At 35.6% G+C, this 13,102-nt stretch overlaps 1 protein-coding gene across 50 annotated transcripts in view; it reads right to left on the bottom strand.

The window, feature by feature from the left end:
* Positions 1-13,102, bottom strand: part of BIRC6 (baculoviral IAP repeat containing 6) — a 261,856-nt gene that overhangs the window by 125,844 nt on the left and 122,910 nt on the right. For all 50 annotated transcript variants that reach the window (XM_006712055.4, XM_005264451.5, XM_047445167.1 and 47 more), the window contains 7 exons: positions 11,582-11,715; positions 10,453-10,606; positions 7,276-7,392; positions 5,234-5,388; positions 4,321-4,447; positions 2,884-2,994; positions 1,477-1,610 (listed from right to left, as the gene is read on the bottom strand). In XM_006712055.4, the coding sequence (XP_006712118.1) occupies positions 1,477-1,610; positions 2,884-2,994; positions 4,321-4,447; positions 5,234-5,388; positions 7,276-7,392; positions 10,453-10,606; positions 11,582-11,715 (932 nt within the window). The remainder of the gene's footprint in view (positions 1-1,476; positions 1,611-2,883; positions 2,995-4,320; positions 4,448-5,233; positions 5,389-7,275; positions 7,393-10,452; positions 10,607-11,581; positions 11,716-13,102) is intronic.

Below are 13,102 nucleotides of genomic sequence, written 5' to 3'. Positions count from 1 at the left end.
AAAAAAAAAAAAACTGCTTTCCCAAACTTCTAATTCATCAATGAAAGAAATGATAGTGAACACTACATTAAGTAACCTGAGGTAGAAGTGTGCTCTAACACTTCTACATATTATTTTATTTGATCCTAATTTGATTTGATGAACAACTCATAAAACCTTGGAGTAGTTCTGGAAAAATAAAATACAATATAATCCTCCAAACTATTTTAGAGTTAAATAAAGTTAATTTCTGATACTGAGCATACAAATTATAGCTTTCGTATCAGAACTTCCTATATAAAACCAAGGTATCAGTAGGAAAGCTTGATCTTCAGTAACTTAAAAAGTTTTAAAAAGTTATTTCCTCCTTTCTTTTATTCAAAAACAGAAAGAAAATATTATTTTTTGCAATGCCTTGTTCACTGATACCTAGCTATACAGATAACTAGTTATGTAATTTGGGGCAATATAGCTGATGCATGTTTTCTTACATGTAAAACAATTAAGTCAGAATTGGTGATCCCGAGGAGTCTTCCTGTTTGAAATTCAATCAATCTTTAAGTACAATAATCACTTGATAACATGTCTCTGCCCCTACCAAAACCCTGTCCCAATCTAACTGTAAGTTAGTTTCTTCTCTCTTACTTGTTCCTTGTCTCATTTATTTTATTAAGATCTGTAAAATTAAAATATATTAAGTATTAGAGTATTAACTAAAGCTCTATGAAGGCAGATATTTGATCTTGGTAAATACTGTATGTCTAGTACCTAGAACAAGCACACAGAAGCCTCCTAAACACTGAATAAGTGAATTAATAGAGAAACTGGGCTGTTGAGGACAACTAAATTAGAATTTATCTGACGGCAAATCCAAGAAGTTTAAAATGATAAACTTGCAAGATAATCTTGAATAATCTTGATTTTAAAAGATGTTATAAATGCTAAATATATTTTTACTTTAAAAGAAATATAATGAAGTACAAATATTTACACAGAAGCAGTACAACATAACAAGAAATTAAATTGATATAAAGGAAAATTTACAGTGAAACAGAAAATGTTTATAAGTCCTGAGCAATATTGTTATCTTTTGCTAAGCAAAATCATTAACATCATAAAATGATTAAGGTGAATTGATAATCTTGATAGTAGAAGTAATCAAATATGACATATTAAAATTTATTGATTCCAAAATTTTTGAAATGCTTCTCTACCTTTGCAGTATTTACTCAGAATGTTTCCAATTATCCAAAATTAATGCCAAAAATATGTATCTATATGAAAACCTAGTATCACTGTTCTAAGAGGTTAACTTACCACCTGCTATTATTTAGTGTCAGTATAGCTATTATTACAAATAACAAAACCTTTTTTATTATATTGATACATAAAAGGCTATTATTTAATACTTTAGCAATAAAAAAGTTACATAGCTTTACATTACGAATACTGTTTATTGAATAGTCTGGGCATATGCCAGGCTAAACATCATATTACCTGTGGACTGTGTTGATTTGTTCCATGTGGACTGGTGCCAGAAAGAAATTTCACTAATACATGAATTAGGTTTGGATCTGAAACCAACAAATGAGCAGTACTCTCCTGAGTTCCAATGGCACTGCTGGAACCAGCTATAAAACATTTTTTAAAAACCTCTTAAGAAATGGACCATGAAATAATGGAAATGCAGTATCTGAAAGCATCTTTTAGTTCCAAGGAAAATTCATACATTCCTAGTAATTACAGTTTATTAAAGGGGTTTCAGTTTCTACTATATTGACTAAGCAGGACTTCCCTCTCTATCTACCATCTATCTCTTCTGCCCCCTTCTGATTCTGAAAACACCTCGAGCTTAATGTACATCTTATTTAGTACAGTCAAACAGAAAAGATATAACTAGGTCCTGACTCTTATTTGGAAAGCCTATTCTAACTAACTCCCCCTTCCAGAAACAGTCAGAGATCTACTTTTCAGGTAAACTTTAATCAAGTTTTCTAAAATAAGTTGTAGCAAAATTATTCCTTTTTGCATGTTAGTTGTATACAGGTTAACTGTGAACTAACGTACAGGTAACACAACAGTTTTCTGAGATGAATAAAATATCCTTTGCATGAAATCCACCTTCAGTATCACAGTGATGCTTTTGATCTCATTTTTGGAAAATACATTCCAAATGAAAAAAGATAATAGCATTTTAAAGCTAAGCAATGATTTAAATTATTAAACAAAACCCAGGAATCTAGTTATGCATGTTTATGAATATAATAATGAATAAATCATTTTTAAGTACAAAGGTATCTTAAAAGAATAACATAAAAACTTAGATGAAATGTAAAAACCTGCCTTTGTACTCTAAAAGCAATCAATTTTCTTTTAATCAGTTTTTAAAAGGTAAAAAATATGATTTGAACATCCAACGAGACATATGAGACTATATTATCAAAGTAAACAAGCACAAAGGATATATAAGAACTAATTCAGAAGAGACATGTTAGAAGAAAAAACTCAGTCACTTTTATTGGAGACAGAGTCTCACTCTGTCACCTAGGCTGGTGTGCAGTGGCGTGATCTAAGCTCACTGCAAACTTCGCCTTCCAGGTTCAAGTGATTTTCGTGCGTCACCCTCCCAAGTAGCTGGGACTACAGGCGCCCACTAACTTTTGTATTTTTAGTAGAGATAAGGTTTCACCATGTTGGCCAGGCTGCTCTCGAGCTCCTGACCTCAAGTGATCCACCCGTGCTGGCCTCCCAAAGTGCTGGGTTTACAGGCGTGAGCCACCACATCTGGCCAACTCAACCACTTTGACAAGTATACCACTCCTTGGAAAACTCTGTTTTAAGAATCCAATAGTAGAACACTAAAGTATATGTCAGAGATTTAAATGAATAAATTTATGAACTTACAATTAAGCTGCATGTTTGTCATGAGTGTTAGGCTATGAAGCACAAGGCACCATGTCCGGAGCAAAGTATTGGGATACCAAGCTAACACTGTGAGAAAGCTAGTTATTGATGCTATGCAGAAAAGAGAAAGGGAAAATATTTTTCAGAAAAACAATGTTTATGAAGAACTAAGTCAAAAGAATAAATTTAAAAACAAGACACTATTTCTTTAAATCCGCTCCTTAACCAGTGTCTTCAAAACATGCAAATAAAAGGAATTCTCCATTAAATACAACTAACGCATTAAGAATCAGTAACATTTTAGGATAAGGTTTAAAGCTCAGCCCACAACACCTGAAATGACATGTTATCACTCTCAGTATGTTGTACTTTCCAAACCATAGGCATTTCTACTTCAATACAATTTACTAAAAATCCTCACACTCTACAAAACTGGCAACTGAAAACAGTAACAGATACTGGAAAAACTGGTATTATAGGCATGCGTCAACACAGCCGGCTAATTTTTGTATTTTTTTCACCATGTTGGCCAGGCTGGTCTAAAATTCCTGCCCTCAAGGGATCTGCCCACCTCGGCCTCTCAAAGTGCTGGTTTTACAGGTGTGAGCCACTGTGCCCAGCCAGGAATAACTATTTTTTACTCTTTTATTTTTTATATATATTTAATATTTCTCATAATAAAATTAAAAACAGATGAAAACAAATTTTATTATAATAATAATATAGTTGAAGAGATGGAAACCTATAAATTAAAGAAGGGCTGGCTGGTGCTGAGACAGTGCAGATGTAAGTAGAATCTGTGCGTGACTCAGTGGAGCTGGCACTCACATTGGAAAATACACCATGTAAGACCCAAGCAAGCTACAGGATGCCTCACTATAGAGAGAAAGCATCAGGAACAGATTCTCATTTTTATTTTTCTTTAAATATAACTAAAATAGATTCCTGTAGCTAGAGCTGAACGCTAATTCTTTTCCTGTTGTATTATTTTACTACCACCATTCCCATACTCATATTTTGCCAAGAAACACACACAACTTCCACAGGAAACTGACCACCTTCTCCAGCTGACTAACTCCTCCAGGGGCTAACTCATAGTTTTAAAAAATGAAAAAAAAAAATAATAAAAAACTGACCTGCTTTTACAGATCAGACAAAACTTCAAGAAAATATAAAGGAGTAACAGAACATTGTAAATTTTAGTTGCATACAGGCATACCACAGACCAGAGAGTAGGAGTCTTCTATTCTCAACAAGGTCTCCCTGTATCTTTCCTGCTAATCGGTAAGTTAGTGCATCTTTTTAAAAAGGTATTCTGTTTTTTCCCCACTAGAATGTTATAACCCCTAATGACAAAGATTAGGTATATTTTAACCTAATAATTACGTTTTAAGCTTGCTATTTAGACTATAATGTTTTTCTCCTAATAAATCTTACCTTGATTTAATGAAATAACAGGTATCCTATTAGCATTATATAAAAATATGTCTGCTCCATTTTCTTTGTTTCCAGTTGAACTAGAATTCAGGCTCAGTGTGAGCCACAATTGGAGAAGTGACTCCAACTGAAAAAGAATGAAAATCAACAGGAGAAAAATGTACCTATTATAATATGAAATACAATTTAAACAAAAATCTTATGTTTAAATTCTTGTCACGAGTAAATAACCTTTTCTATTAAACACTTCTTCACACTTAAAAGCATCTTCTAGTTAATTAAATTAGTTGATCAGCAAACACATCTTAAAATTCTTGAAGAAACAAAATTTACCTGAATTAAATGTTAGAAATTACCTCATAAAAAGATTCTTCTAAATTAAAACAGGTGATTCAAGTCATTTTTTTTTTTTTATTTGAGACAAGGTCTGCTATATCTTGAACTCCTGGGCTCAAGCCATCCTCCCGCCTCAGCCTCCCGAGTAGCTGGGACTGTAGGCATGTGCTACTGCACCTGGTTAATTTTTTTTACTTTATTAGAGACAGGATCTAGTGTTATGTTGCCCAAGCTGGTCTCGAACTCCTGGCCTTAAGCAATCTTCCTGCCTCAGCCTCCTGAGTAGCTAGGACTACAAACTCAAGCCACCATGCCCTGTGATTCAATCTCTAATCACAGCTGTGTGTATGTGTAGTAGGAATTAAAGTACTGAAGCTAAAAATCTTAAAAATTATCAATGTTCCATCATTGAGAAACTGTGATTACTTTGGTAATCAAAGTATTTCTAATATTTTTCCAACTGAATATAATAAAGAAATCATCCCTGACAGGATTAGAATGAACTTCCCAATTAGTTTCATCTTTTACCAGGCTAACAATAATATGTAAAAATACACCATTTCTCCTGAAGTCATACCTGAACATGATGGACTTGAAGCATGGAAAAAAGTTTGTTGAAACAAACATTTAACATTGGGACAGATGATAACTGTATAATAAGCTGGCTGGTTTGGTTTGCTGCTTGTAAACCCCCTAGAAGTGAATCATCTGTTCCAGTGGGAGACTGTGATACTGAAAATTAAACACAAGTATAATTTTATACATAAAGTATCAGGATATGTGTTAACTGGTTATTCATATGTATAAATAGGTTAAATTGTTTTTAAAAATTAAAACTGCATTCTTTAGAATGGTTCAAAACAATATTTAGTATTTGAAAAACGTGTTTTTATAACATTACTTGAAAGTAAAAAAGACAATGACCAAAGAGAGAAGTTCCCAAATTCATAGGACTCAAACCAACAAAAAAAGGCAAAGAACTTTTCTAGCAATTTTTATTTGCATTTTTTTCCAATTAATAAAGGAGGGAAAGTAAAGGGAAAGAAATAAGACTCCTGACTAATTATTGATAAGGTAGTTTTAGAATAATCTAGATTCTAGTTCATTCATCTTTAACCTTGACTATAGATTAGAATCATCTGGGGAGCTTTCAGAAGTTCTGATGCCCAGGTTACACACAAAACTAATTAAATGAGAATATATTCATGGGAACCAGAGAAATACAAGGATACTAAGAGCTTTATCATATATTTAGAGCCTTATTTTATTATTATACTAAAAAGAGAGACAGCTGTGTGCAGGATAATCAAAAGATAAAGAGGAGACACCAATTTCAAACAGATTTTCTTTTTTATTCTTTTTTTTTTCAAATATCCTTTCAGAATTACGAAAAGATATTCTAATAAGTGCTTTTAAATAAGAAATGTCTAACAAAGAAAAGGGTTACTTTGGGCAGTACCGAGTTATCTCTAATCATGCAGACACTGGACCCTACAAAAGGGATCCCCATATTGCCTGGGAGATAAGATACAAGAATATTTGTGTACCAATACTGAGATTATAGAACACTAGACCATTCCTTCTGTTTTTCTTTTTTCCCTTCTTTTGATACCCTCTAAAGCAAGAAACAAATGAAGATTGCAGACTGAAAGAATTCAATTTAACATAAGGAAGATGTAAAAACTCAAATTTCTCTATTGAAATGGGTTGTGAACTCTCCATAAGAGAAGCATCTGTAATTTTATTCGGTTCTACCTACTATCTCTACCCCTTCTTCACTCTGACCTAGAGAAGGTGAAGCAATATGCAGGCCTAAGAAAACAAAAACCAGCACCCTCTTCTAAGCACAGCTCCCCAATCTGTCCTTGAAAAACACCGTGCTATTTCAACTGTACTCCTCCGAGGTCTACCCAGTTCCAGACTTGTGTAGACCTCATCAAGGAAAACAAACCGTAATGTGATGGCCAGCTCTGGCAGGCTACCTGTTTCTTGTAACACAGCCATACCCATTCATTTACATATTGTCTATGGCTGTTTTCCTGCAACCAAGTCAGAGTTGAGTAGTTTCAATACACACCATATGGCAAGGAAAGCCTAAAATATTTACTATTAGTCCTTTACGAAAAAGTTGGCCTTTCTTTTCTGTAGGTTATTAGGTAGTAAATCCTCTCAATTCTGGCTTTCAACTAACAGGCCTATTTGGCTGTCATCCTACACTATATTCTCTATCCTAGTCTTTAAGGATGATAAAGATGTTACTACAAAAAATCTACTTCATCATAAATTTGGAATAGTGCAATGAACTCACAGGCAGGTATGAAGGCTTCTGTAGGAATTTTATTAACCTTACAACAATACAGTAAACAAAACACAATGGAGGTTTCTGCACTGAACTGACAGCACTACATGGAAGTATTTTGCATGATACTCTCTGCATTTGTTAATCCTTTGTCTTAGTTTTCAACTTGCTACTAACTCGGAGCCAGGAAAGTGCTACATACTAAGTCCCCTCAGACTCACATCATGGAATTTAAAAATCTGTCCTTGATGAATCCACCTGAAAATGATGAAGAGCTGAATCATTCACTGCAATACTCTAAAAATGGTCATTTTACTTACATGTAGGAGATGTATTTGTTAATGCCTGTAAAATGGAATCTGCCTCCAGAGTAGACATCATTTTCAACATCAGTTCTGCTTGCTGTTCAAGTCCAACTTCTAGGCGAGCATCCAGGGCTACAAAAAGCAATTGAAAGAAAAAGAAAACATTGACAATTATTACTCATGTCCTACCTCCTACAATAAAATGATGACATCTGAACCCAAGAGAGGATGAAGAGTGTGTTCTTACAGAACAGCCACCTAACATGCAGTATCGGAGCCACAGCAGGGGAAGAATATCTGTGGAAAGGAGGGTAGAGACAGGCGATTGGTTATATAGAGACAGAAATATTAAATAAGTGAAGTAACAATAATGGAAACAAAGACATTAAGGATAATGAGAACCAGGTTTCTCACTGTCAGAATAAAGTGCTATAAATACAGACAAGAAGAAAGCTAAAATGAACCCTATGGAGTTAGATTAAATCCAGATACACTGATGTGAATTCATCATATTCAGAATAGATAGACAGATACAGAAATATAGATGCCAAGTGTGTGTGTTCACACGCACACACAAACACATACTCCCTAGCTCTGTCCACCACGAGGAAATGAAAACAGTCCCAAAATAGCAACACATATATCCATGACGAAATCATGGTTTGTTAACCACATTTCTCCTTTAAAAGGTTTTGAAATACCATGCTCCTTTAAGAAGTGACTAATTCCCGGGGTGGGGCAGATTAAAGTAAAGGATGAGCCTGGGCTATCATGTTTTGCCAGAGAACAAGGAAGTGCTAAAATGATGAGAAAATCTCAAGGGGGATCCTATTGGTCAAATTTGAGACAATCTGAACATCAAAAAACAGATGACAACATTGTGAATATCTTCATTAACAGTGAACTATACACACACAAAAAATGGTCAAAATAATAAATTTGCCAGGTGTGGTACAGCATGCTGTAATCTCAGCTACTTGAAAGGCTGGGGTTGAAGGACTGGGCTCACCCAGGAGTTCAAGACCAGCCTGGGCAACATAGTGAGACCCTATCTCAACAAATAAAAAAGAAAAATTTTATGTTATTTACATTTTTCCACAATTTAAAAAAATGGTAAGGTATAATTCACTGAATAAAAAAAGGCAACCATGAGTCCGTTCAAAACTGAACGAATAAACTATTACAGTAATTTTTTCTTTCTTTCTTTCTTTTTTTTTTTTTTTTGAGTTGGAGTTTTGCTCTATCGTCCAGGCTGGACTGCAGCAGCACGATCTTGGCTCACTGCAACCTCTGCCCCAGGGTTATAGCAATTCTCCTACCTCAGCCTCAGTTCCCAAGGATTACAGGTACCCGCCACCATGTCTGGCTAATTTTTTTATATTTGTAGTAGAGATGGGGTTTCACCATGTTGGCCAGGCTGGTCTCGAACTCTTGACCTCAGGTGATCCACCTGCCTCGGCCTCCCAAGTGCTGGGATTACAGGCGTGACCACCGCACCTGGCCAGTAATTTTTTCAAAAAGAAACTTTGTGAGGAACAGGATAGTTATAGTTTCCGAGTACCATTCTGCTCCCCAGCCCCCAAAAAACTTTTTACAGCAGCCGGGCACAATGGCTCACACCTTTAATCCCAGCAATTTGGAAGGCTGAGGAGGGCGGACTGCTTGAGCTCAGGAGTTTGAGAACAGCCTGGTCAAAATGGTGAACTGCTTCTTGATTCTAGGAGGCAGTGACTGCAGGGAACTGAAAATCATGCCACTACACTCCAGCCTGAGTGACAGAGCAAGACCATGTGTGTACCCCCAAAAAACCCAATGAGAACAAAACATTTTTACAGAGGGGAAAAGAATAACTTTACAAGGGAGAAGCCCAGAAGACAACTCATTCATCAAGTGGTTAAACTTAACATCACCAATAATGAGAGAGATCAAAATCATGGGCCACCCTAATTGAATGAAATGTTGGGGGGGAGCATTATTTGTGGAATATTCCTTCGAAGATGCATTAACTCAATATTCTATTCACAAGGAAATAGCATACAAACACAAACTGAGGACCATTCTACAAAATAACTGGCCTGCCATCTTCAAAAGTATCAATGTCATGAAGGTCAACTATGAGGAACTACTGCAGACTGAATGAGACTAAAGAGACGTGACGATTAAATGCAATGCATTATTTTCCCTGGGCTCTTGTGCATAAGGAACATTATTTTGACAACCGCTATAATTTGAATGGGCTCTCAGTATTTGACAGCAGTAACGTTAATTTCCTGATTTTGAGGGAATATACTTCTTGATATGTATATATGGAAGAATGTCCTGATTTGTAAAACAAAACAAAACAAAAATGACATCAAATTACCAACGTACTCTCAAATGGTTCTAGAGAATAAACATTCTCCGCATTTAACTTGAAACATTCTGGTAAATGTGTGTTTCAAATTTTTAAAAAATATTTTATAACAGAAGGAGCAGCGTTGAAAAGGGAAAAAATGTATTTTATTAAAAAATTAAACACATCTCATATATTCTACATGACTAAAAAAGTGTAAAAATAAAGCCAGGCATGGTGGCTCACTCCTGTAATCCAAGCACTTTTGGAGGCCGAGGCAGGCAGATCATTTGAGGTCACAAGTTCGAGACCAGCCTGGCCAACATGGTGAAACCTGTCTCTACTAAAAATACAAAAAATAGCTGGGCTTGGTGGCATGCACCTATACTCCCAGCTACTCAAGAGGCTGAGGCAAGAGAAGCCCCTCGACCTGGGAGGCAGCGGTTGCGGTGAGATGGGATCACATCACTGCACCCCAGCCTGGGCAACAGAACAAGACTCCATCTCAAAAAAAAAAAAAAACTGCAAAAATAATACTTATTTAATGTAGTTTCATTCTCTTTATAAATAAAATACAAGTTTACTATTAAAGTCAACAATTAAAATACAGCACAGTTCATTAAAATCATTGCCAATCCCATACAACACTTGCTAGGTGTTATTCTGACAGAGAACCAAAAAGATAGAAGTTCCTCTAAAGTGACTACAAAGAAACAGCTCTGAATGGTACTCACGGCACAGCTGTGATACTAAACCCACTGGCATACACCCAGGCTCAACTTCTCAAGGGACAAAGTATACATAAATGACAGACTTGTTTTAAGAATAGCATATGTCTTAAAATATAAACATACACTTACCCTGAGAGACTGAAACGCTAACTGTCTGTGATCCGTTCTTCTCCGTGTTTGCTGGTGGCTTTGCTACAGGAATTCCCAGACCTCCAATGTAAGGGTTGTAATTGTAGGTCCCATAATCAGCACCCCAATAATCATACCATGTACTGCTTATTGGCTTAAAAGAATGGAAAAAAAACTGTGGTTTATTTTTGCCTCTTGGCTGAATGACACGTTATTTACATTATCTAAACCCAAACAGAACTACAAAATAAATATTCTATCCACCCTTTAAATTTCCCAAATCCCCTTATAATTTTAATGATTTATAAGAATGGTCCAGTAATTTTCTCCTCACTTTCTGCCAAAATCTAAAAATACCTTATATGTTTAGAAACTGAAAGTAGCATCCCTAATAAAATCTCTTATGGACCAAAGAACTGTACCACCATAAATTATTACAGGTGATTCTCCTTTAAAAAAAAGTAGGCTAACATACAAGTAGACTCTGCAATGAACACAGCTCGGATGAAGTTTAGATGGCTGTCTGAAATGTTGGTGATCTATAACTATACTTCTGTATACTTAAATGTAGTTCTCATTATTGTATGATAATTATGAGTAGCTACATTAATAAAAATGTAAGTTTTCTTTATACTATTCCATTGATTGTTTTTAAACTACAATAGTAGTACCTATAGCAATTTCATTTTGAAAATGCTGAATAATGAGTTGCATTAGTGGTAATGTATGTATATTTTCCTCTTTTAAGTAATTACTAAGCCAAAAGTATGAGACTGAAAACTTCCCTTTCAAAGAATTTTTTTTTTTCTTTTTTTTTGAGACAGAGTCTCGTTCTGTCACCCAGGCTGGAGTGCAGTGGCATGATCTTGGCTCACTCCAAGCTCCACCTCATGGGTTCATGCCATTCTCCTGCCTCAGCCTCCCAAGCAGCTGGGACTACAGGTGCCCGCCACCACGTCCAGCTAATTTTTTCTATTTTTAGTAGAGACGGGATTTCACTATGTTGGCCAGGATGGTCTTGATCTCTTGACCTTGTGATCTGCCCACCTTGGCCTCCCAAAGTGCTGGGATAACAGGCATGAGCCACTGCGCCCGGCCTCCTTTCAAAGACTATTCTCATGTATCATACCTTAAAAACCTTGGCTGCAAGAGGGTCCTTTTCCAAATCAATATCTAAAGGATCAATGTCAACTTCCATTAGATCCTGAAGTAACTCAAGGTCAATTTCTTTATCTTTTTCCAAAGAGGACAGAGGAGGTGCACCTTCAAATAATTAAAAGTGATCTTATTGGTGGAGTGTATCACATAAAATTTAGATGACATAATGCTTTTAGTTAAAAAAAGTTATTTTACTTGCATGTTACATATGCCTAAAAAAAAAAACTCTATGTATGCAAACATTTCGCTCCATAATACACGATAAAAACAAAGATTCATTGATATTTGCTTTCCTAGAGAAAAGACCACAGTATTAGCTCTTATTGAAGTAAGTTGCATAAACTTTGCTATTAAAAATAATTACCAACATTACTAAATAATATACATTCTATTACATCTAACATGTAATTCATTATTACAGGTAATGTTACCCAGTATTAAAGAGAAAAGCAAACAGGACTGAAGTTGTAAGAATGCCATTTACCGGCCAGGCATGGTGGCTCCCACCTGTAATCCCAGCACTTTGGGAGGCCGAGGCAGGTAGATCACAAGGTCAGGAGTTTGAGAACAGCCTGACCAACATGGCAGAACCCTGTCTCTACAAAAAATACAAAAATTAGCTGGGTGTGGTGGTGGCCGCCTGTAATCCCAGCTATTCCAGGGGCTGAAGCAGGAGAATCGCTTGAACCCAGGAGGCAGAGGGTGCAGTGAGCTGAGATCACGCCATTGTGCTCCAGCCTGGGTGACAAGAGCAAGACTCCGTCTCAAAAAAAAAAAAAAAAAAAAAAAAAAAAAAAAAAAAAGCCATTTACCTTATTTTTCTGTTATGAATTAGAAATTATTGTCTCTCAGATGTCTCCAAATTTTTAAGTAGCTTTCTTATAACCCTTATAAGTACCCCTCTATAACTCTTACTTTTCCATCATTCCTATCCTCTTATTCAACATAACTTTATAGAATGCCTAGTAAATGCCAGCCTGTATGAGGGTTTGAGTATAAGTACATGAAGATTAATAAAACTCTCCAATCCAATAAATTAAGAGAAATTCAGAGGTGGGGGTGCACTATAATTAAAACTGACTACAACATGATATGTGCTAGCAGAGATATTTGAGAGCGCAAGGGAAGTACAGATGGCAAAGTCCCTAACTCTGCTGGGAATGACAGAAAAAGCCTCTTAGAGAAAGGCACGCTTTATGTGAACCTTCGATAACGAAGTGTTCATCGTGCACACAGGAAATCTACTCCAGATAAAGAGAATATCAAGTAAAAAATAGAAAATCATGAGCAAACATAAGATTAAGGAATGACAAATGGTTGAAAATGACTGCAGCATCTGACATATACAGATTAGTACCCAAAACAGACTTTTGAAAAGTAAGGGGTATGGAGATGATAAAGGATTATACATGCTAATTTATAAAGATACTTTTTAAAAAGGAAAAAAAAAGAAAAAGTAAGAAAAAAATACACCAAAAAAATCACATGCTGG

Source organism: Homo sapiens, chromosome 2 (assembly GCF_000001405.40).
Source record: "Homo sapiens chromosome 2, GRCh38.p14 Primary Assembly".
Taxonomy (NCBI): Eukaryota; Metazoa; Chordata; class Mammalia; order Primates; family Hominidae; genus Homo; species Homo sapiens.
This window is presented reverse-complemented; position numbering and strand designations above follow the sequence as displayed.